The sequence below is a fragment of the Homo sapiens genome, chromosome 3, assembly GCF_000001405.40.
Source record: "Homo sapiens chromosome 3, GRCh38.p14 Primary Assembly".
In the NCBI taxonomy this organism is placed as follows: Eukaryota; Metazoa; Chordata; class Mammalia; order Primates; family Hominidae; genus Homo; species Homo sapiens.
Window position 1 is genome coordinate 37,416,834 of NC_000003.12, and position 24,603 is coordinate 37,441,436.

The 24,603-nt window shown below is 42.6% G+C and overlaps 1 long non-coding RNA gene across 5 annotated transcripts in view; it reads left to right on the forward strand.

Annotated features, from left to right (window-relative positions):
• The window catches only part of APRG1 (APRG1 tumor suppressor candidate), a 54,421-nt gene extending 35,757 nt beyond the window's left edge, over positions 1–18,664 (forward strand). For 2 of the 5 annotated variants that reach the window (NR_171174.1, NR_171173.1), the window contains exon 5: positions 186–1,533. This is a non-coding gene — a long non-coding RNA (APRG1 tumor suppressor candidate). Of the gene's footprint in view, positions 1–185; positions 1,534–18,010 lie in introns of those variants that run through there. The other 3 variants (NR_126512.1, NR_126514.1, NR_126513.1) reach the window with 3 other exon arrangements.
• The last annotated feature ends 5,939 nt before the right edge of the window (positions 18,665–24,603 follow it).

Below are 24,603 nucleotides of genomic sequence, written 5' to 3' on the forward strand. Positions count from 1 at the left end.
TATTCTATACCTAACTCACAGGCTTGTTGTGAGGTTTAAGTAAAATAGCACTTAGTGAAGCAAGGTACACAAATAATACTCAATGAATGGTAAGCAATATTGTTATGATGCATTTATTTTTACAGCGTTATGTGACCTTTTTATTCTCTACTCCAACATTGGCATGTTTCTGTTATTCTTTTCAGTATTATTGAATTTATTCCCCGAAGGAGAGCGGCTAAGAGTATTGCCCAGCCACAGGCTCTCAACCACCAACCCGAGCCTCAGATTCTCCTCACACAGCCACAGCTGTACCACATGGCCCACGTGGTATGGTGCTAATTCCTCTGACATCTAATTTTCACTTTTTGGCAATATTTGGTCTCATCAAGCTTTACACATAAATATTTTCAGCAAAGTGCTCCAAATGCCTTTTTCAGAAATCTGAATCCACATGAAAACAATGGCAACAAGAAAAAGGTGTAAACTTTCCAGAACAGGCCCAGAATTTGAAAATGTGATAAAGAGGTTATTGTGCGCCCGAACTTTTCACACAAGAATTGGAGGAGATTTAACACATGGAATAATAAACAGAGGAAGGCGGGCTAATGCAGAGCAGATGGGCCTGCAGGGCAGTGCTCAGCATTTCAACATCTTTCCCCTGGACCTTTGGACCCAAGGTGATTGCATGCTGGTGTCTTTAGCTAAAAATAAAGTTAATGTCTTTGGGGCAATCATAAATATGGCTGCTTCAGTTTCTGGGGTGATTGGTGGTCTAAAGTTTTCAAGAACCTACTATGTGAAAGGCATTTGACATTCACTAATTTAATCCCAACTACTACTCCATTTTGAAGGAAAAAAATGAAGGCTCTGAAAGTGTAAATCGCTTACTGAAGGGCACACGGCCAGGATGACAGCGGAGCCAGGATCACCCCAGGTCTGTCTCATTGCATATGTCATGGCTCTGCAAACTGGGGCAATAGGTGAGCAGGGAGAAGAGTCATGGCCAAATAAAATTGAGACATACCGATACACACACACACACACACACACACACACACACATTTACACGGTAACAGCCTTATTAAGGTACAACTAATGTACAATAAGGTGTACATATTTAAAGGATACTATTTGATAAGTTTTGACATATGTCTGTACCTGGGAAACCATCACTACAATCATGATGGTGAGCATATCTAATACTCTCAAAAGTTTCCTCTTGCCTTTTGTAATTCCATTCTGCCATCCCACCTGTCCCTCCCACTCCTGATCCCAGGCAACCACTGATCTGCTTTCTGTCACTATAGATTAGTTACATTTTCTAGAATTTTATATAAATGAAATAATACAATATGTACTATTTTTCTGTGTTTCTTTCACTCAGCAAAATTATTTTGAGATTCATTCATGTTATTGCTTGTTTATTCCTTTATATTGTTGAGTAGTTATTCCATTGTATGAATATGCCACAATTTGTTTATCTGTTCATCTACATATGGACATCTATAGATGTTTGCACTTTTGGGCTATTAAAAATCAAGTTGATGTGAATGTTTGTAGACAAGTCTCTGTATGACATGTATTTTCTTTTCTTTTGGATAAAAACCTAAGAATGAAATGACTAAATTATATTGTAGGTACATGTCTAACTTTTAAAGAAACCATTAAGCTGTTTTCCAAAGTGGTTGCACCATTTTACCTTCCTACCAGTAGTGTATGAGAGTTCCAGTTCCCCAACATCTTCACCAGTACTTGGTATGGTCAGTCTTTTTAATTTTTGTCATACTAATAGGCCTGTAGTGGTATTAAGTCTCTTATGGTTTTAATTTGTATTTCCCTAATAACTAATAATATTGAGTATATTTTCATGTTTTTGTTTGCCATCTATATGTCTTTATTAGTTAAGTGTTTATTCATATCTTTTGCATATTTTTATTGAGTTGCCTCTTTTTCTTTTCTTATCATTGAGTTTTGAGAGTTCTTTACATATTCTGAGTACAAGTCTTTTAATAGATACATGTTTTGCAAACATTTTCTCCAAGTCTAGGCTAGTATTTTTATTTTCTTAACAGTGTCTTTTGAAGAGCAGAAGATTTAAATTCTGGCTAAGTCCAATTTATATTATACATCACTTTAACTTCTGTTTTACATTTTAAAAATCTGACCAGGTGTGGTGGGTCGTGCCTGTAATCCCAGCACTTTGGGAGGCTGAGGCAAGTGGATGACTTGAGGTTAGGAGTTCGAGACCAGCCTGGCCAACATGGTGAAACCCCATCTCTACTAAAAATATAAAAATTAGTTGGGCATGGTGGCAGGCGCCTGTAATCCCAGGTACCCGGGAGGCTGAGGCATGAGACTCTCTTGAACCCAGGAGGTGGAGGTTGCAGTGAGTCAAGTTCATGTCACTGTACTCCAGCCTGGGCGACAGCGTGAGGCTTCATCTCTAAATAAATAAATAAATAAATAAAAATCTGAAAAAATAAAAATCTTAGTTATATTCTGAAAGTTTCCTTGGCTTGATTTTACAACTCACACATTTTCTCTTTGGCAGTCCATTCTATTACTACTCAGCTTATATGTTGAATGTTTTAAATTATCAAATTTTAAATTAACTTCCCAAATAGAAATCATTCATGGCTAGCTGCAGCAGCTCACGCTTGTAGTCCCAGCACTTTGGGAGGCTGAAGCAGGCAGATTGCTTGAGCCCAGGAGTTCATGATCAGCCTGGGCAACATGGCAAAGCCCCATGTCTGCAAAAAATACAAAAATTATCTGGGTGTGGTAGTGCATACCTGTAGTCCCAGCTACTTGGGAGGCTGAAGCAGGAGAGTTGCTTGAGCCATGGAGGTTGAGGCTTCAGTGAGCTGTGATCACATCAATGTACTCTAGCCTAGGTGACAGAGTGAGACCCTGTTTTAATAAATAAATAAATAATCATTCACAATGTTTGCATATGGTAATCTTACCTCTCCCTGATAATTTAATTATTCAGCCCAGCTCAGCTATCAGCTCTATTTCCTCAGGTGCAAGTTCTGTATTTGGTAAGAGGATGATGTCTGTTACACAGAGATAGATTTCCACAATTGCTTAGTGAGTCTTAACTGAAGAATGATCTTTGTTTTGGGGGATCCCCGTTAGCCTGTCTTTGATTGTTTATTGCAGTCTACCTCCAGGAGACAGGGTGAGAGTCAGACATAGAGCAGCCAGGGAGGCATTTCATGGGGAGGGAGCTCCTCATTCTTTCTTGATGTTACCAGTCCCCTGGAACACTATTTTAGCTCTGGGTCCTAAAGGCTCATACTCCTGGCTTCTACATGGGGGCAGACACCTCTATTGCTCTGTTGCTGCTTAGTCCAAAGGGCAATGTTGACCTCACAGTTGCTACGTTGGTGCCCCAGCTCATCTCCCTTCAGGTATGCAGAGCTACTACTGCTCCCAGGCTCTTCTACCTCAAGGCTTTTTGATTTTTGTTTTTTGGAGATGGAGTCTCACTCTGTTGCTGCTGGAGTGCAGTGGCGTGATTTCAGCTCACTGCAACCTCTGCCTCCCAGGTTCAAGTGATTCTCCTGCCTCAGCCTCCCGAGTAGCTGTGATTACAGGCACCCATCACCACATCCGGATAATTTTTATATTGTTAGTAGAGACAGGGTTTCACCATTTTGGCCAGGCTGGTCTTGAACTCCTGGCCTCAGGTGATCTGCCCACCTTAGCCTCCCAAAGTGCTGGGGTTACAGGCATGAGCCACTGTGCCTGGTTACATGACCAGTTTTAGACAATGAGTTTTGAGAACTTATGATGTGTATAGTTTTAGGACTGAACTTTTACTTAATGGTGTGAGACCTTCAGTGTGAGACCTTCAATGGGTCAATGAAATAATTCAAAGGGAAATTTAAAAATTTCTTAAGGCAAATGAAAATGGAAACACAGCATACCAAAACTTAAAATGGTAGGGTTTTGAGTAAGTAGAAGAGCATAAAGAAGAAAAGAATGTTGATCCTAGAAATATTCTATCTGAAGTAGAAGTTGCATATTCCTGGACTTTAACTTTGCAACTATAGAGGAGGATATATAATCATGACACATGTTTTGGCCCAACTGTGAGCAATAATCATGAAGCCATAATAAAATTAGCACTATTTATTGATTTTCAGTATTTACGACTGAGCCAAAATCAGAACTATGGTGATAGCATAAAATGCAAATGTCATTAAATTTGATTACATAAAAGTAAAAGTAGAATAAGAGGAGTTTTCTTAGTATCTTAATCTTTTAAATTGGTGGGTCAAGAGATTGCAAAACTTGATGAAACGAGAAATAGCTGTTTATTACTTAAAATTGCAAATGTCATCAGTAGAGCAGTGCTTCTTCAAGTGTGATCCCTGAGCCAGCAGCATCAACCTCTCTTGGGATCTTGTGAGAAATGAAAACCCAGACCAAATGAATCAGAAGCTCATGGGGTGGGCCCCAGCAATCCATGGGTTTTTTTGTTTTTTGTTTTTTGTTTTTGAGAAGGAGTCTCAGTCTGTTGCCCAGGTTGGAGTGCAGTGGTGTGATCTTGGCTCACTGCAGCCTCCACCCCCCTGGGTTCAAGTGATTCTCCTGCCTCAGCCTCTTGAGTAGCTGGGATTACAGGCGTGTCGTACCATGCCCAGCTAATTTTTGTATTTTCAGTAGAGATGGGGTTTCACCATGTTGGCTAGGCTAGTCTTGAACTTCTGACCTCAAGTGATCCACCCACATCGGCTTCCCAGAGTGCTGGGATTACAGGTGTGAGCCACCATGTCTGGCCTACTTCAAGGCTTTGACTATTCTTGGAGCCACCTCCCATCTCCCATTTTTATGCAAGAGTGTTTGCCCACGTGAGCTTCAGTATAGGGATCCTTTTAAACTCTGATTTGACTGCCTGGCATATTTCAGGGAATTTTCAAGATTTCTTATTCATAAGGAAACTCCTTTCAGTTTCCTAACATTGTCATGGATCAAAACCACATTTGTCTCATTTCTAGACACCTGTGTTGGGAGGGGCCTTGGGCTCAGGTCCTCCAACCTGAACAGGATCTGTAGGCAATATTTGCATCAGTAGAAGAATCTCTTGGTATTTGAAGGCCCCATGTGTGCAGACCATATATGCTATATGTTGCCATAAAAGTTTGGTTTGCTACTTTGATGCTTGCATTTTCTTTGGAAAAGCAGCAGGGGGTCCACCTGCGGAGGGGACAGTATAACCATTTTTAGAAATGAAAATCTGAGCATTCTCTCCCCTATTAAAAACTTTTCAGTGGCTCCTGTTGCCCTTCAGATGAAGCTTCAACTTGCTTTATAGGCCCCCCAAGCTCCATTTCCCACCATTTGTTCACCTCCTCTCTTGCTGTCTCTATTCCAGCCTCAGGTAATTTTTTCCCCTAGTTCTACAAAAGGGCCCTGCTCTCCTACCCTTGAACATCCTATTTTTTCTGAACAGAACATTCGCCTTTCTCTCCCTGCTTCCTTTCCTCTGATTCTGATTCATCCTTCTGATCTCGGATTAAAGGTTCCTTTCTCAGTGGGCTCAGACACCTCTGGGGTCCTGACTCACATCCACAGAGCCTCACCTCTGATTCCAGTTGTGGCCGTGGCTGCTGTACTTTAGTGGACCACTCTGAGTCATGCTATCCACTTTGCAGAAGGTTCTGATGGGATCTGCCCCGACACCCACACTTGTGACCTTGTTGATGGGTCCTTATTTGCCTATTCCTCCTTCTCTCGCACTCCTGAGTGTCTTGCTTCCTGGGATCAGATCCCAGATGAACCATCTATACCTGATTCCTTGTCTTAGGCTCTACTTTCAGGGGGTGGGAGGAACTCAAGCTAAGCCATTTATAGTCTGGATTAGAGCCCTGTGGTTTTCCAGGGGGCAAAAATGCTAATTTTAGATCTGGAAAGAAGATCTCAGTGAACCCTACACCAGGTAGCAACTATCTGGTAGGAGGTGCATATTTGGATCCTAGGAAAAATCCAAGCTTTCATCCTCATTTCTGGACATCCTAGTGCCTCTTCTAATCTCTGTTATGTTGAGGCAGCCCAGAGTAGTGGGAAGAACATGGAATTTGGAATGGGTCTTCAGATTCTGGCTCAGTTGTACTCTCGCTGTGTAGTCTAGCAGAAATCATTTAAAATTTCTGAGGCCATTTCTTCATTTGCCAAAATGAGATAAACCAACAGATGCTCTCGTTACTCAAAGGATCTCCACCAGGACAGGATGCTGCACAAAAGAGTGGTTACTTAGACAGCCAGGGCATGCATTTCTTCATCTTGTAAATGAAGGCCTTGCCTTAGGAGACTGCTAAGGTACCTCCTGCTGTAACATTCTAAAGAGACAGTTCTTTTCAAACTTGATGGTAGGATACAGGCAGTTTCTATCTTGCTTGCCATAGAATACTGATACATAACATACCCAGGAGTCAGGCTGCTTGGGTTGAATCCAGTTCTCATAGCTGCATGAGCTTAGCCAGGTTTCCAAACCTCATTGTATCTTAATTCCCTCATCTCTTAAATGGGGGTGATAAAAGCACTTATCATAGTCCTGTTGAGAGGACTATGCAAGGTCACACATGCACAGCACTTATTTGATGTGGTGGATTAAAGATGATGCAAATTCTTTGCTACTCTTCTGCTTGAGAGTTAGAGTCTAGCTCCCCTCTCCTTGGGCCTGGACCAGCCTGGGTGGCTTGACTGGTGAGTAGAGTAAAGCAGAAATGACATTCTGGGACTTCTGAAGCTGGGTCCTAAGAAACCTCACAGCTTTCACCGAGGTGTCTTGGCACATGGTCTCTGGGAGCCCTACCCCACCACGTAAGAAGTCTGACTCACCTGAGAGCACCATGTGGGAAAGGCCCCGTGTAGGTGCCATGATCAACAGTCCCAGCTGAATGCAGCCATTCAACCATTCCCTCCAAGGTACCAGACATGTGAATGAGGCTGGCTTAGGCCCTCCAAAAAAGCCCAGCCACCAGCTGGCTACCACTGAGTAACCTCAGCTGATGCCACATGAAACAGAACTGAATTGCCCAGCCAAGCCCTGCCCACATTACTGCCCACAGAAGTGTAAGATATAATAAAGTAGGACTGAGGTGGGAGGATTGCTTGAGCCCAGAAGTTCTAGTCCAGCCTGAGCAGTGCAGCAAGAATTTCTCTCTAAAAATAAATAAATAAATAAATAAATAAATAAATAAATAAATAAATAAATAATATTAAAGTAGTTGTTTTAAGCCACTAAGTTCTGGGGCAGTTTGTTATGCGGCAATAGATAACTGAAACACTTGGCATATAATAAATGCTTAATAGATACAGGTCAGAGCATTTTGATGTCAAATTTCATTACCCATGATCAGTATGTAAGAGTATCCAAGTTTGAGAGATTACTGCCCTGATCCCACCTTCTATGACCTCCTCTGTCTCTACCCCTGGGATTCTAGCAATGCTGGGACTTATTTTTCCATCTGGTGCACAGTGTGCCTTCATCTGCTAAAAACCTCATAAGTCCTTGTTAACCATCTGCCTTCTGCATAAAGGACACCACACCAAACAGCCCCCGGACTACTTTTTTTTTGAGACAGAGTCTTGCTCTGTCACCCAGGCTGGAGTGCAGTGGTGTGATCATAGCTCACTGCAGCCTTGACCTCCTGGGCTCAAGTAATCCTCTCACTTCCACCTCCTGTGCAGCTGGAACCATAGGCATGTGCCACCATGCCTAGCTAATTGTTTAATTTTTTGTAGACATGCGGTCTCACTGTGTTGTCCAAGCTGGTCTTGAATTCCTGGGCTCAAGCAATCCTCTTGCCTTTGCCTCCCAAAATGCTGGAATTATAGGTGTGAGCCGCCACATCTGGCCCAAACCATTTCTAATTCTACCTCTGCCATCATCTCCATGGATAACCTTGGATCTACCTTCTGGCCCCATTTCTCCATTTTTATTTTTATTTTTATTTTATTTTATTTATTGAGTTTTTCAAAACGGGGTCTCACTCTGTCACCCAGGCTGGAGGGCAGTGGCATGATCTCAGCTCACTGCAACTTCCGCCTCCCAGGTTCAAGTGATCCTCCTGCCTCAGCCTCCTGAATAGCTGGGATTACAGGCACGCACCACCATGCCTGGCTAATTTTTGTATTTTTGGTAGAGTGGAGTTTCGCTGTGTTGGCCAGGCTGGTCTTGAACTCCTGGCCTCAAGTGATCTGCCCGCCTTGGCCTCCCAAAGTGCTGGGATCACAGATGTGAGCCACCGTGTCCAGCCTCCATTTTAAAATGTGCCAGGGGCACATCCTGTTTCTGATGTAGGTACATAGCATGTTTCCCCTACTTCACCCTCTGCTCCTTTGCAACCTTCAACTTTTTGGTATTTCTTTTCTTTCTTCATCCATTGTTTAAGCTTTTCCCCCATTGGTAAGCCCAATGTCACTTGCATAAAGAAAAACTCTTCCTTGACCTCATATAAACCTCCAATCACCATCTGATTTATCCTCATTTCTTACTTCCACCATGCTGCTCTTTAACTGGCAAACTCTTTTTTTTTTAAAATTATACTTTAAGTTCTAGGGTACATGTGCACAATGTACAGGTTTGTTACATAGGTATACATGTGCCATGTTGGTTTGCTGCACCCATCAACTTGTCATTTACATTAGGTATTTCTCCTAATGCTATCCCTCCCCCAGCCTCCCACCCCCCGACAGGCCCCAGTGTGTGATGTTCCCCACCCTGTGTCCATGTGTTGTCATTGTTCAACTCCCATGTATGAGTGAGAACATGTGGTGTTTGGTTTTCTGTCCTTGTGATAGTTTGCTGGGAATGATAGTTTCCAGCTTCATCCACGTCTCTGCAAAGGACATGAACTCATCCTTTTTTTATGGCTGCATAGTATTCCATGGTGTATATGTGCCATATTTTCTTAATCCAGTCTAACATTGATGGACATTTGGGTTGGTTCCAAGTCTTTGCTATTGTGAGTAGTGCCACAATAAACATACCTATCCATGTGTCTTTATAGTAGCATGATTTATAATCCTTTGAGTATATACCCAGTAATGGAATCGCTGAGTCAAATGGTAATTCTGGTTCTAGATCCTTGAGGAATCACCACACGGTCTTCCACAATGGTTGAACTAATTTACACTCCCACCAACAGTGTAAAAGTGTTCCCATTTCTGCAGATCCTCTCCAGCATCTGTTGTTTCCTGACTTCTTAATGATCACCATTCTAACTGACATGAGATGGTATCTCATTGTGGTTTTGATTTGCATTTCTCTGATGACCAGTGATGAGAAGCATTTTTTCATGTCTGTTGGCTGCATCAATGTCTTGTTTGAGAAGTGTCTGTTCATATCCTTTGCCCACTTTTGGATGGGGTTGTTTGTTTTTTTCTTGTACATTTGTCTAAGTTCTTTGTAGATTCTGGATATTAGCCCTTTGTCAGACAGGTAGATTGCAAAAATTTTCTCCCATTCTGTAGGTTGCCTGTTCATTCTGATTATAGTTTCTTTTGCTGTGCAGAAGCTCTTTAGTTTAATTAGGTCCCATTTGTCAATTTTGGCTTTTGTTGCCATTGCTTTTGGTGTTTTAGTCATGAAGTCTTTGCCCATGCCTATGTCCTGAATGGTATTTCCTACGTTTTCTTCTAGGGTTTTTATGGTTTTAGGTCTTACATTTAAGTCTTTAATCCATCTTGAGTTAATTTTTGTATAAGATGTAAGGAAGGGATCCAGTTTCAGCTTTCTACATATGGCTAGCCACGTTTCCCAACACCATTTATTAAATAGGGAATCCTTTCCCCATTGCTTGTTTTTGTCAGATTTGTCAAAGATAGGTGGTTGTAGATGTGTAGTGTTATTTTTGAGGCCTCTGTTCTCTTCCATTGGTCTATATCTCTGTTTTGGTACCAGTACCATGCTGTTTTGGTTACTGTAGCCTTGTAGTATAGTTTGAAGTCAGGTAGCGTGATGCTTCCAGCTTTGTTCTTTTTGCCTAGGATTGTCTTGGCTATGTGGGCTCTTTTTTGGTTCCATATGAACTTTAAAGTAGTTTTTTCCAATTCTGTGAAGAAAGTCATTGGTAGCTTGATGGGGATGGCATTGAATCTGTAAATTACCTTGGGCAGTATGGCCATTTTCACAATATTGAGTCTTCCTATTCATGAGCATGGAATGTTCTTCCATTTGTTTGTGTCCTCTTTTATTGCATTGAGCAGTGGTTTGTAGTTCTCCTTGAAGAGGACCTTCACTTCCCTTGTAAGCTGGATTCCTAGGTATTTTATTCTCTTTACAGCAATTGTGAATGGGAGTTCACTCATGATTTGGCTCTCTGTTTGTGTGTTGTTGGTGTATAGGAATGCTTGTGATTTTCGCACATTGATTTTGTATCCTGAGACTTTGCTGAAGTTGCTTACCAGCTTAAGGAGATTTGGGGCTGAGACGTTGGGGTTTTCTAAATATACAATCATGTCATTTGCAAACAGAGACAATTTGACTTCCTCTTTTCCCGATTGAATACGCTTTATTTCCTTCTCTTGCCTGATTGCCCTGGCCAGAACTTCCAAAACTACATTGAATAGGAATGGTGAGCGAGGGCATCCTTGTCTTGTGCCAGTTTTCAAAGGGAATGCTTCCAGTTTTTGCCCACTCAGTATGATATTGGCTGTGGGTTTGTCATAAATAGCTGTTATTATTTTGAGGTATGTTCCATCAATACCTAGTTTATTGAGAGTTTTTAGCATGAAGGGCTGTTGAATTTGGTCAAAGGCCTTTTCTGCATCTGTTGAGATAATCATGTGGTTTTTGTCCTTGGTTCTGTTTACGTGATGGATTACGTTTATTGATTTGCATATATTGAGCCAGCCTTGCATCCTAGGGATGAAGCTGACTTGATCGTGGTGGATAAGCTTTTTGATGTGTGTCTGGATTCAGTTTGCCAGTATTTTATTGAGGATTTTTGCATCGATGTTCATCAGGGATATTAGCCTAAAATTCTCTTTTTTTGTTGTGTCTCTGTCAGGCTTTGGTATCAGGATGATGCTGGCCTTACATAATGAGTTAGGGAGGATTCCCTCTTCTTCTATTGATTGAAATAGCTTCAGAAGGACTGGTAGCAGCTCCTCCTTGTACCTCTGATAGAATTTGGCTGTGAATCTGTCTGGTCCTAGATGTTTTTTGGTTGGTAGGCTATTAATTATTGCCTCAATTTCAGAACCTGTTATTGGTCTATTCAGAGATTCAACTTCTTCCTGGTTTATTCTTGGGAGGGTGTATGTGTCCAGGAATTTATCCATTTCTTCTAGATTTTCTAGTTTATTTGCAAAGAGGTGTTTATAGTATTCTCTGATGGTAGTTTGTATTTCTGTGGGATCAGTGGTTATATCCCCTTTATCATTTTTTATTGTGTCTATTTGATTCTTCTCTCTTTTCTTTTTTATTAGTCTTGCTAGCGGTCTATTTTGTTTATCTTTTCAAACAATCAGCTCCTGGATTCATTGATTTTTTGAAAGGTTTTTTTTGTGTCTCTATCTCCTTCAATTCTGCTCTGATCTTAGTTATTTCTTGCTTTCTGCTAGCTTTTGAATTTGTTTGCTCTTGCTTCTCTAGTTCTTTTAATTGTGTTGTTAGGGTGTCAATTTTAGATCTTTCCTGCTTTCTCTTGTGGGTATTTAGTGCTATACATTTCCCTCTACACACTGCTTTAAATGTGTCCCAGAGATTCTGGTACATTGTGTCTTTGTTCTCATTCGTTTCAAAGAACATCTTTATTTCTGCCTTCACTTCATTATGTACCCAGTAGTCATTCAGGAGCAGGTTGTCCAGTTTCCATGTAGTTGTGTGGTTTTGAGTGAGTTTCTTAATCCTGAGTTCTAGTTTGATTGCACTGTGGTCCGAGAGACAGTTTGTTGTGATTTCTCTTGTTTTGCACTTGCTGAGAAGTGTTTTACTTCCAATTATGTGGTCAATTTTGGAATAAGTGTGATGTGGTGCTCAGAAGAATGTATATTCTGTTGATTTGGGTTGGAGAGTTCTGTAGATGTCTATTAGGTCTACTTGGTGCAGAGTTGAGTTCAAGTCCTGGATATCCTTGTTAACCTTCTGTCTCGTTGATCTGTCTAATATTTACAGTGGGGTGTTAAAAATCTCCCATTATTATTGTGCAGGAGTCTAAGTCTCTTTGTAGGTCTCTAAAGACTTGCTTTATGAATCCAGGTGCTCCTGTATTGGGTGCATTTTTATTTAAGATAGTTAGCTCTTCTTGTTGAATTGATCATTTTACCATTATGTAATGTAAAGGCCTTCTTTGTCTCTTTTGATCTTTGTGAGTTTAAAGTCTGTTTTATCAGAGACCAGGATTGCAACCCCTGCTGTTTTTTTGCTTTCCACTTGCGTGGTAGATCTTCCTCCGTCCCTTTATTTTGAGCCTATGTGTGTCTTTGCACGTGAGATGGGTCTCCTGAATACAGCACACCAATTGGTCTTGACTCTTTATCCAATTTGCCAGTCTGTGTTTCTTAATCGGGGCATTTAGCCCACTTACATTTAAGGTTAATATTGTTATGTGTGAATTTGATCCTGTCATTATGATGTTAGCTGGTTATTTTGCCCATTAATTGATGCATTTTCTTCATAGCATCAATGGTCTTTACAATTTGTCATGTTTTTGCAGTGTCTGGTACCAGTTGCTCCTTTCCATGTTTAGTTCTTCCTTCCGTAACTCTTGTAAGGCAGGCCTGGTGGTGACTAAATCTCTCAGTTTGTCTGTAAAGGATTTTATTTCTCCTTCACTTATGAAGCTTAGTTTGGCTGGATGTGAAATTCTGGGTTGAAAAATCTTTTCTTTAAGAATGTTGAATGTTGGCCCCCACTCTCTTCTGGCTTGTAGGGTTTCTGCCGAGAGTTCCGCTGTTAGTCTGATGGGCTTCCCTTTGTGGGTAACCTGACCTTTCTCTCTGGCTGCCCTTAACATTTTTTCCTTCATTTCAACCTTGGTGAATCTGACAATTATGTATCTTGGGGTTGCTCTTCTCGAGGAGTATCTATGGGTGTTCTCTGTATTTCCTGAATTTGAATGTTGGCTTGCCTTGCCAGGTTGGGGAAGTTCTCCTGGATAATATCCTGAAGAGTGTTTTCCAACTTGGTTTTATTCTCCCTGTCACTTTCAGGAACACCAATTAAATGTAGATTTGTTTTTTTCACATAGTCCTATATTTCTTGGAGGCTTTGTTCATTTCTTTTCACTTTTTTTTCTCTAATATTGTCTTCTCGCTTTATTTAATTAATTTGATCTTCAATCACTGATATCCTTTCTTTCACTTGATTGAATCGGCTGTTGAAGCTTGCTCATGTGTCACGAAGTTCTCATGCTGTGGTTTTCAGCTCCATCGGGTCATTTAAGGTCTTCTCTACACTGTTTATTCTAGTTAGCCATTTGTCTAACCTTTTTTCAAGGTTTTTAGCTTCCTTGCAATGGGTTAGAACATGCTCCTTTAGCTCGAAGAAGTTTGTTATTACTGACTTTCTGAAGCCTACTTCTGTCAACTTGTCAAACTCATTCTCTGACCAGTTTTGTTTCATTGCTGCTGAGGAGCTGTGATCCTTTGGAGGAGAAGTGCTTTGGTTTTTGGAATTTTCAGCTTTTCTGCTCTGGTTTTTCTCCATCTTTGTGGTTTTATCTACCTTTGGTCTTCATTGTTGGTGACCTACAGATGGGGTTTTGGTGTGGATGTGCTTTTTGTTGATGTTGATGCTATTTCTTTCTGTTTGTTAGTTTTCCTTCTAACAGTCGGGCCCCTCAGCTGCAGGTCTGTTGGAGTTTGCTGGAGGTCTACTCCAGACCCTGTCTGCCTGGGTATCACCAGCGGAGGCTACAGAACAGCAAATATTGCTGCCTGATCCTTCTTTTGGAAGCTTCATCCCAGAGGGGCCTCCTGCCTGTATGAGGTGTCTGTCGGCCCCTACTGGGAGGTGTCTCCCAGTCAGGCTACACGGGGGTCAGGGACCCACTTGAGGAAGCAGTCTGTCCATTCTCAGAGCTCAAATGCCATGCTGGAAGAACTACTGCTCTCTTCAGAGCTGTCAGACAGGGATGTCTAGGTCTGCCGAAGCTGTCTGCTGCCTTTTGTTCTGATATGCCCTGCCCACAGAGGTGGAATCTAGAGAGGCAGTAGGCCTTGCTGAGCTGCAGTGGGCTCCGCCCAGTTCGAGCTTCCTGGCCTCTTTGGTTACACTGTGAGCACAAAGCCACCTACTTAAGCCTTAGCAATGGTGACACCCCACCCCCCGCCAAGCTGCAGCATCTCAAGTCGATCTCAGACTGCTGTGCTAGCAATGAGCAAGGCTCTGTGGGCATGGGACCCACCAAGCCAGGCACAGGAGGGAATTTCCTGGTTCTGCCAGTTGTGAAGACCATGGGAAAAGCACAGTATTTGAGCAGGAGTGTACTGTTCCTCCAGGTACAGACTGTCACGGCTTCCCTTGGCTAGGAAAGGGAAATCCCCTGACCCTTTGCGCTTCCTGGGTGAGGCAATGCCCTGCCCTGCTTCGGCTCGCCCTCTGTGGGCTGCACCCACTGTCCAACCAGTCCCAATGAGATGAACCAGATACCTCAGTTGGAAATGCAGAAATCACCCATCTTCTGCGTCGATCTTGCTGGGAGCTGCAGACCAGAGCTGTTCCTATTTGGCCATCTTAGAAGCCTCCCTAACTGGCAAACTCTTAACCCTTCAGGGCTCAGCTGAGATGTTGCCACTTCAAGGAAGTCTTTTTTTTTTTTTTTTTGGAGACAGCATCTCACTCTCTCGCTCAGACTGGAGTGCAGTGGCCCGATCTCAGCTCATCGCAACCTCCACCTCCCAGGCTCAAGCAATTCTCCTGCCTCAGCCTCCTGAGTAGCTGGGATTACAGGCGTGTGCCACCATGCCCTGCTAATTTTTATATTTTTAGTAAAGACAGGGTTTCACCATGTTGGCCAGGCTGGTCTTGAACTTCTGACCTCAAATGATCCACCTGCCTCGGCCTCCCAAAGTGCTGGGATTACAGGTGTGAGCCATCGCGCCCAGCCCAAGGAAGTCTTTAGAGACCTCCTACCACCCTACACAGTACCCTTCCTCTATAGTCTTACAGCACTCTTACTGACCCTCTTCCCCATTTCAACCCCTTTCATACTGTGATTAACTGGTTAATCATCAGCTTCCATTGCTAGACTGCCCTCTGCAAGGGCATGCCATATTCGTTACAATAGATCAAGCAGTTAGCCCTCTTGGGTACTGGCACACAGATCTTTGCAACTCTCCTTCCTCATTGGCTGACAACAACAAAAACAACAACAACATTTTCTGATACTACCACCACCACCATTGGTTAAAGCTTTCTATATGCCACAAATTGTTCTAGTCACGTTACTTGAATCTTGCCAATAACTCTATGAATAGGTATTCTTTTTTTTTATTATTATACTTTAAGTTTTAGGGTACATGTGCACAACGTGCAGGTTTGTTACATATGTATACATGTGCCATGTTGGTGTGCTGCACCCATTAACTCATCATATGAGTAGGTATTCTTATCCCCATCCTACGGTTGAGGAAACAATCTTGGAGAGGTTAAGTAAGTTGTTTTGTTTTGTTTTACTACTGGTCAATATTGGAGCTGAGGTTCAAACCCAGGAAGCTGACTCCTGGGTCAATGAAGCCCTTTTGGGAAACATTTCACCTCTGGTATTGGCTTTGGGCTTTGAAACACATTGTCCTTTATTGCTTTTTAACAATGAATGAGCTTTGTATATGCAATTTGCCCTGCTTCCCTATGCTCTCTTTCCTAAATGTGACTGTTGGTGTCTTGTGGCCTAGAAGTGCCTCCAGCTCCCCGCATGGATGTCCTGGGTTCAAAATGCATCTTCTTTATTATACCAAACACACTATCCCTCCTTATCACCTTTGCTCATGAAAGACACCCACAGCATCCTACAGTGAAAAATCAGCACTGGGCGGGGAGAGGTGTATTCCAAGCAGTCGTACGGCATCATAGCAGATCATGCGTTCCTGAAGTTTCGGTTCTCGTGGCTTCATGGATGGAGAGCTGAGGCTCCTGATGGGATTGACCCCGTCTGAATCAGAGAGCTGTAATGGAATAGGGCAAAAGGAGACATTCCATTACAAAGTCAAACCATGGTAAACAACCACAGCCAAAGGAAATAGAAGAAAGAAAGAAAGGAAAGAAAATACAAAAAACAATTATATACAGAAGAAGGATGGCAAGTTGCTGGAAGACAAACAGTTTGCCTACATCTTAGAATTCTGGAACAAAGATGTGGCCACGTTTCTTGAGTCTTTTATAGGAACTTTAGACTAGTATTTCTTGAGTTCAGCATCCACAGGCAACTGAATGGATGTTAGGTGGGCAAGAAGATAGCCAATTTTAGGTACATGTTTCAAAAGACTTATCAAATTTTTAGAAATAAAAATAAAGCATAATATCTTAAACTTATTAATCATTTTAATATCAGTAATGAGAAAATATTATTTGAAGTTAATCATTTACAACTTCTATATCTGGGTCTATTGGATACATCTGTTTCACAACAAGTCATTTTTAAGTGGTTTTCACACTTTTTATTTTTGTAGATCCTAATTCATAATTACAGGTGGTTGCAAATGACAACAAGTGTTTGGTGGCTATCTAAAATTATTCTGAGTATTTAGATAGAAGAGGACCCTAAAATTATGTTGTGATTTCATACAAAACATTAAGTGTTTGCCAGATGCTAAGTTGACAAACATACTTTATTCAGAGTATTGGATGGTTCAACTCTGGCGATAGCAGCAAATGGATTCTGTTGTGGTTTGAACTACATCAACTTGCTTAGGCTGGAGTTATGTTTCCCAGAATCCCCTTCTCTGAGTGGTCTCAAGTTAGAATTGGTCCAGAGAATAATTTGCACAACGTTTGGAAGGTAGAAGTGAAGCAGCCACCATTATTCTCTGAAGATTCTCAGGGTTGGATGTGACAGACAGATGCAGAGGTGCTGGCGGGTTCCATTTATCCTTGCTGTCCTCCTCTCTGTGGCCTGGTATTCCTCCTGGCTGATGACCTTGTTGACCTGCAGTGGTCCTGGCCCATCACAAGATGCATGGGGACTGTAATTAATTTATCATTGCATCTCCAGTGTATGGTGCAGATCCTGTCTTATCAGTATCTTAATTGGTCATTGAATAAACACATGTGCATGGTTTTATATGCATTGATTTTTGGCTACTCAGCATTGGGAAATAATAATACAATTTTCTGGAGAATCATCCCTGTCCCACATTTAGTCAATGTATGTTGGGTAAGGTTTATTTCACACCTAGCTCCACTGACCGCATGAGTTCAGCCAGGCCAATCAAGTTATTACATTCACTTGGCTACAGTGGTTGGCCTGGGGATGGAACATGACTCAGCCCAAGCCAATAAGATGTGGTGAGTCTTTTGCTGTGACTGTCACAACAGAGGCACATGGCGTTTTCTGCTGGACCTGAACCTGGGAGGATATAGGCCTGACTCTGTTGGCAGCCATTTTGGCGCCACACTGAGCCTGAGAATGAAGCCAACATTGTGAATAGCAACGTAATGAGAAGAAACAAGAGTGGGTTCTGATAATATTTGAGCCCCCTGGATTGAGCTGTGCCTGAAGTCAGTATCCCCTGGATTTCAATTATGTGAACCAATAACCATCCTCCCCCTTATTTTTTCCCCTCAAACCACTATGGAGTGGGATTTCTGTGATGTGGAGCATAAACTGTCCACTCACACTGAATAGTTTTCAATTTCCCTTTAGGAGCAAAACGCCTTTTTCAAATGAATGTTCACACAGAATCCCATTACACAGCAATGTTAATAGCAGAGCTCACGAGGACCAGGACCTGCTCTCTTGCCCTCCATCCCCCAAGTTCTGAAGCAGTTCCTGATGCCTCTGTGGAATGCTGGTCTTGGCAGAACACAGTTAGAAAACCATTAATTTAGCCCATGTCTGTTATTTTAAAGGTAAGAAAACTGAAGTTCAGAAAAGGGAGGGGACTGACTCAATCCCAGCTGCTGGCAGATCTGGGACTGCAAACCAGCCTTCCATTGCTCCACACAGGTGTCTCTTCTCACGTGGAATCACAGCATTGGATGGACTGAAAAGAGGAAGAGGCTGCAATGGAGCAGCACACCTGGTGCGTGGGGATGCCTGGAAAACAAAATTAGGAGAGCCCTGGGTCAGCATTGCTCTGGCACTGGCTGGGCCGGGGGCCATCCTGATTCTAGAATTATCTTGGTTCCTGGGATAGAAATGTCCCCAGAGTGGAGAAGTTCAGTTCAATCCAACATCCTTATATTGCAATGAGGATAAAGACCACAGACCCTATGGCCTGTATGACCCAGCTGCCCATTTCTAGGAACCCATTCCTACAGAAATGACAACATGCGTGTGCAAACAGCAACAATGACAAACATACCCTGGGATGCTTTCCCTCTGTGGTTTGTTATAGTAAGATAGCGGCTACAGCTTATATATCATCAACAGAGGACTGGCTAAATGATGGCACTTCATTCTGCAGAATCTTTTTTTGTAGTCAAAAAGAACAAGTTAGATCTATATGTGTGAACATGGAAAGGTGTACATGACTTAAGTAGAAAAATTAAGTTGCAGAACGATATTTATAGTATAATTTCATTCTTACAAAAACCGTTTTCTAAAACTGTGTGTGTAAAAGGGCTGGAAGGATACATCCACAGTCTTAATACTGGTTACATCCGGGGAGGAGAGTTGGGGCTTGAGGCAGACTTTGGCCATTCAATTTGGATGGGGGCCAGAGACCCCCGCCTCTCAGATCTGAGACTGCTGTACTTACTTTCCTGCCTCCTTTGCAGCACAGGCCATGACAAAGACTGTTAAATCACCTTGGGTGGGAGGGGACAGGGCGTTTCCTCTATCTGGCAGAGGGGGCTGCAAGGTCAAGTTCCTGACAGAAGTGGTGCTGTTTCCTACTGTAGCATGCAGTGGTTATGTACTGTAGTGCTTAACGGTGGCAGAGGCAGCTTCAAACACACCAGCACACTGGTCAACTTTGGGGTCTTACTCTTGGAAGCCTGGCCTGGAGCTTCCCTCTCACATTCTGTGAACCACCCAGTATCCTTCTAGTAAACTCTTCTGCTTCATTGTTCAGAGTCAGCTGAGTTAGAGGGACTTCTGATTATTTTATACATGTCATCTGATACCTAAATATATGTATACATTTTTTAACCAAACATATTTAAGAGGATACAGATGATCTCGCCTAAAGGAGCATGCAGTGCATAGAGGTGTGTGCCCCTGCCCTGTTTTGTATTTTATTTTATTTTTTGAGATGGGGTCTTGCTTTGTTGCCCAGGCTGGAGTGCAGTGGTGGGCTCTCGGCTCACTGCAACTGCCTCCTGGGTTCAAGCGATTCTCCTGTCTCAGCCTCTCGAGTAGCTGGGATTACAGGTGCATGCCACCACGCCTGGCTAATTTTTGTATTTTTAGTAGAGGCGGGGTTTCACCATGTTGGCCAGGCTGGTGTCGAACTCCTGACCTCAGGTGATCCACCTGCCTTGGCCTCCCAAAGTGCTGGGATTACAAGTGTGAGCTACCACGCCTGGCTCGCCGCCCTGTTTTGAACCAGGGTTTTCATGAAAGAGGTGAATGTGCTGACCATTAAACAGCAACTACAGCAAACTTGGTTTGCAGTGAGATGTTTGCTCGGAAATGTTCTTTTCTTTTTAAATAAGCAACTTCCTGAGCTGCAAGTTAGTCTTAGGCATGGCTCCCTCACCGGGAAAGTTGTGTCCTGTGCAGGCTGCACTTCCCACTGTCCCTGTGCATCTGCCTGGGCCTTCTTCCTCTTGGTTCTTGGGTAGACTGACTCTGTCCCCTGAAAGCCTGGTCCTCTGAGGAGACTGAAGTTTGCATGTCACACAGAGCCGGGAGATCTGGCCCTGGATGAAACTAGGGGACAGCTCCCAACGGCTGCTCAATTAGTGAGTTTCCTTTGTACTTCAACTTGGGTAAGCTGGGCTAATTAATAAGTGGACTTGAGAATGACAAACCTTCATGGCCAAGGTCCAAAATGTCATGTTGGTGGAAGATGGCAAAAGTCTGGTGAGAGGGATGTCAGAAGTAAAAGGACTAGGTACCAGGAAATGAGGAATCAGGATAGCATTGTCCACAACTACTAAAGGTCCATGTTGATTTATTTCTTTGCTTTTTCAATGACCTTTTGATATTTGAATTTCACACATCGCTGTCTTAGTTTGCATCCTCCAGAAGCAGTACCTGAGACAAGGATTCAAGTGCAAGTGGCTTAATTGAGAAACAGTCATTCAGGGATCACCATTCAGGGACTGGAGAAGTAAGACAGGGAAGGAAGGAAGCCAATGGAGAGTGCGTTATTGAGCAAGTTACCACTGTGGGCAACTGGAGCTCAATGCCTCTGGGGAACTCTGGGAGCCAGTGTAGAATATACAGCTCAGAGTTTTTTCATTGGAGCAAAGGGAGTCATTGGTTGAGTGTTGCTCCAGGGAAGTGTTCATTCTCTAGCATTTCTGGCCTGCCATGTGTGTGGGCAGAGAGGGCTCCAGTAATCAGGAAGCCTTCGACAAAGAGTCTTAGATGCTGGCTGTTGGAAGTCAGGCCACATGCACAGAAATATCACATGCTGGTGGCATCTGCGTGGAGCATCCACAGCATCTGCTACAAGTTTCTTTCCTTCTTTGCACAGCTCATGAAATTTGCCTGCCTTCTAATCAGTGCGTGGAGACTGCAAGGTAAGCAAAGAGTTTCACTTGATCTTAGGTGATCATAGACGACTGATCTCATTTATATTCTGTTTAGGTATCCATGTTTATAGTCAAAATATATCAAATTGCTTAATATCCATACCACACACAGAATAAGATAACATACCTGGTTTTTAAAAAATAACTTCAGCGGCAAAATACATACTATTTTAACAGCATCCAAATTTGAGAGAGAGGTAAAAATATATTCCCTCTTATATAGTGAGATGGATGGAAACCAGAACAGAAAGCCCTGAACCCTTGGGGTTGCCCATGTAAATACTGTGACGGCCTACAATGCACTGAGGGAGTGGCTACTTGGTGTTGCCTATGGTCATTTGCCACCTTTTGTGATGAGCCTCCAACTGGGACACCTGGCCATTAGGTCCTAGTTACTCAGGAAGCTAACCTGTTAGTCACTAAATTCACTGTACTGTTGTTTTCCTAGGGAAAAATAAGTGCTGATGCATGATGTATTGCAGTTGTTTGAAAACATGCCTCAAGTTTTACATCATCTGTATCTTAATCCCTTTGGGCTGCCACAGCAAATTGCCACAGACCAGGTAGCTTAGAAACAGCGGAAATTTATCTCTCAGTTCTGGAGGCTGGGAAGTCCAAGATCAAGGTGCTGACAGATTCAGTGTCTGGTGAGGGCTCACTTTCTGGTTCGTAAATGGTGCCTTCTTGCTGTGTCTTCACGTGTTGGAAGGGGCAAACAAGCTCCCTTGGGCTTCTTTCATAAGGGCACTAATCCCATTTACGAGTGGGTGGACTTAAGTGAGGAGTGGTTCGGACAGCCAACAAGACTATCAAACACCCACCACAATAGGTTGTTTTAAAGATGAGGAAACAGAGCCTCAAGGAGGTAGAGAAATGCCGCATGTTCCACAACTGGTCAAGAGCAGAACTAGGATTTGAACCCAAGTGGTCTGATGGCCCAGCTCCTGCTGTGTTCTTTCCTTCTGCTCTGTCACCTCTGGTATGGGTAATGTCTGCTCTTGCTCACGTACTTTGTAGGGGACAGAGCTTTTAGAGAATAGGAGGTTTGGGGGAAGAGGGGAAGGAAAGGAGGGCAGGTGGGGACTGTTGGAACAGGGACCCAACCCAGGGAGTCAGACTTGTTGGAGGCTGCCTCAGGACAGTCAAGGACACTGAATCCACTGACTCTCCACTCTCCCTCCTCTCTGTTAATTGGTTTGAGGAGAGGTCTATGTTAAAGAGCTGGAGCCTGATGAATTGTTATGATTGTGGGAAGGAATGGATGCTCACAGGCTCAGACAGAAAAACAAAATGAATTGGCCTATCTAGATACTTCCCACAAAATGCTTTCAGTTCCACGTTAATTCCAAGTTTGTCTCTTAAGCACATTTGGAATATGTAAATAATCTTAGAATGTCACAATCTAGAATGTAATTTAGATAAGCTGAGAACCAAAAGAGAAGACCGCATTGCCTTGTCTGTCAGGCCTGTGTGGGTCCGATTTAATGACTCCTGATGGTATGAGGTTGAATTGGGCAGCAGATTGGACACATAGCTATAGTGCCAGCTATTCATGTTTAAAATGTCATTTTAGACTGGGTGCAGTGGCTAACGCCTGTAGTCCCAGCACTTTGAGATGCTGAAGCAGGTGGATTGGTTGATCCTAGGACTTTGAGACCAGCCTGGGCAACATGGCGAAACCCTGTCTCTGCAAAAAAACAAAAACAAAAACGAAAAAACCCAAAAACCAAAAAAATGAGCTGGAAGTGGTGGCACACACCTGTAGTCCCAATTACTCTGGAGACTGAGGTTGGAGGTTCTCTTGAGCCCTGGAAATGGAGGTTGCAGTGAGCCGAGATCATGTCACTGCACTCCAGCCTGAGCAACAGAGTGATACCCTGTCTCAAAAAATAAAAGTAAAAATAAAATGTCTTTTAAAATGCAGTCATGCACCACATAATAACATTTTTGTCAATGATGGATGATAAGATGCTGGTCCCATAGATCATAACGGAGCTGAAAAATTCCCATTGCCTAGTGACGTAGCTGTCATAATGTTGTAGCATAACATGTTACTCACATGTTTGTGGTGATGCTCATGTGTGAGGCTGGGAAAGGTGGCTCTTGTCTGTAATCCCAGCACTTTGGGAGGCTGAGGTGGTAGGTTGCTTGAGGCCAGGAGTTGGAGACCAGCCTGGGCAACACAATGAGACCCGGTCTCTACAAAATAACAAAAAAATCCAACTTACTATGCTGCCACATAAAAAAGCATAGTATATACAATTATGTGCTGAACATAATACTTGATAATGATAATAAATGACTATGTTATTGGTTTATGTGTTTACTATACTATATTTTTATTCATATTTTAGAGTGTACTTCTACTTATTAAAAAAAGTTGACTGTAGAACAGCCTCAGGCAGGTCCTCTAGGAGGTGTTCCAGAAGAAGACATTGTTATCATCAGAGATGACAGCTCCATATGCGTTACTGCTCTGAAGACTATCAGTGGGACAAGATGTGGAGGTGGAAGACTGATATTGATGGCCCTGAGCCTGTGTCGGCCTATGCTAATGTGTGTGTTTATGTCTTCACTTTTAACAAAATGTTTAAAAAGTAAAAATAAATTTTAATAGAAAAAAACGTGCAGAATAAGGCTATAAAGAAAGAAAATATTTCTACAGCTATATAACATGTTTGTGTTTTAAGCTGTTATTATAGAAGAGCCAAAAAGTTAGAAAAATTTAAACATTTGCAAAATAAAAAAGTTATAGTAAGCTTAGTTTATTGCTGAAGAAAGAAAATTAAAGAAAAAAAATTTAGTGTAGCCTAAGTTTTCCGTGTTTATAAAGTCTACATTAGTGTACACGAATGTCCTAGGCCTTCACATTCACTTACTCACTGACTCACCCAGAGCAATCTTCCAGGCCTACAAGCTCCATTCATGGTAAGTGCCCCACACTGGTGTACCATTTTTAATCTTTTATAGTATATATTTTACTGTACGTTTTCTTTGTTTAGATACAAAAGTATCTTTGTGTATCTAAATCTTTGTGTTACAATTGCTTACCTTACCTTTGTGTTACAATTGCCTACAGTATTCAGTACAGTAATGTGCTATGCAGGTTTGTAGCTTAGGAGCAATAGGCTACACCGTGTAGCCTGGGCATATAGTAGTCTATACCATCTAGGTTTGTGTAAGTATGTTCCAAGAGGTTTGCACAACAATATTGCCTAACAACACATTGACGGAGTCTCACTTGTCGCCCAGGCTGAAGTGCAGTGGCATGATCTCAGCTCACGGCAACCTCTGCCTCCCAGGTTCAGGTGATTCTCCTGCCTCAGCCTCCTGAGCAGCTGGTATTACAGGTGCATGCCACCATGCCCGGTGAATTTTTGTATTTTTAGTGGAGACAGGGTTTTGCCATATTGGCCAGGCTGGTCTCGAACTCCTGACCTCAGGGTGCCTCAGCCTCTCAAAGTGCTGAGATTACAGGCCTGAGCCACCGCGCCCGGCCCTAACAATACATTCTCAGAATGTATTCCCATCACTATGTGACGCATGACTGAATAACTTCCACTGGGTTCAACTGACCCCCCATCTGGTTGTTACTTTGGTGCACTTATTTCCATTTAATCTGTCCTCCTTACTAGGTGGATACTATTATCAGATGAGATATGGAGTCCCTATAAGGTGTAGCAACTAACCCTGTGTCTGGCAGCTGGTAAGTGGCAGATCAAGATTTGGACTCAGGTCTTAAGTCTCGGACCATAGCTAGGTCAATTGTTCCACCACAGAGCCATCCCACACTAGGC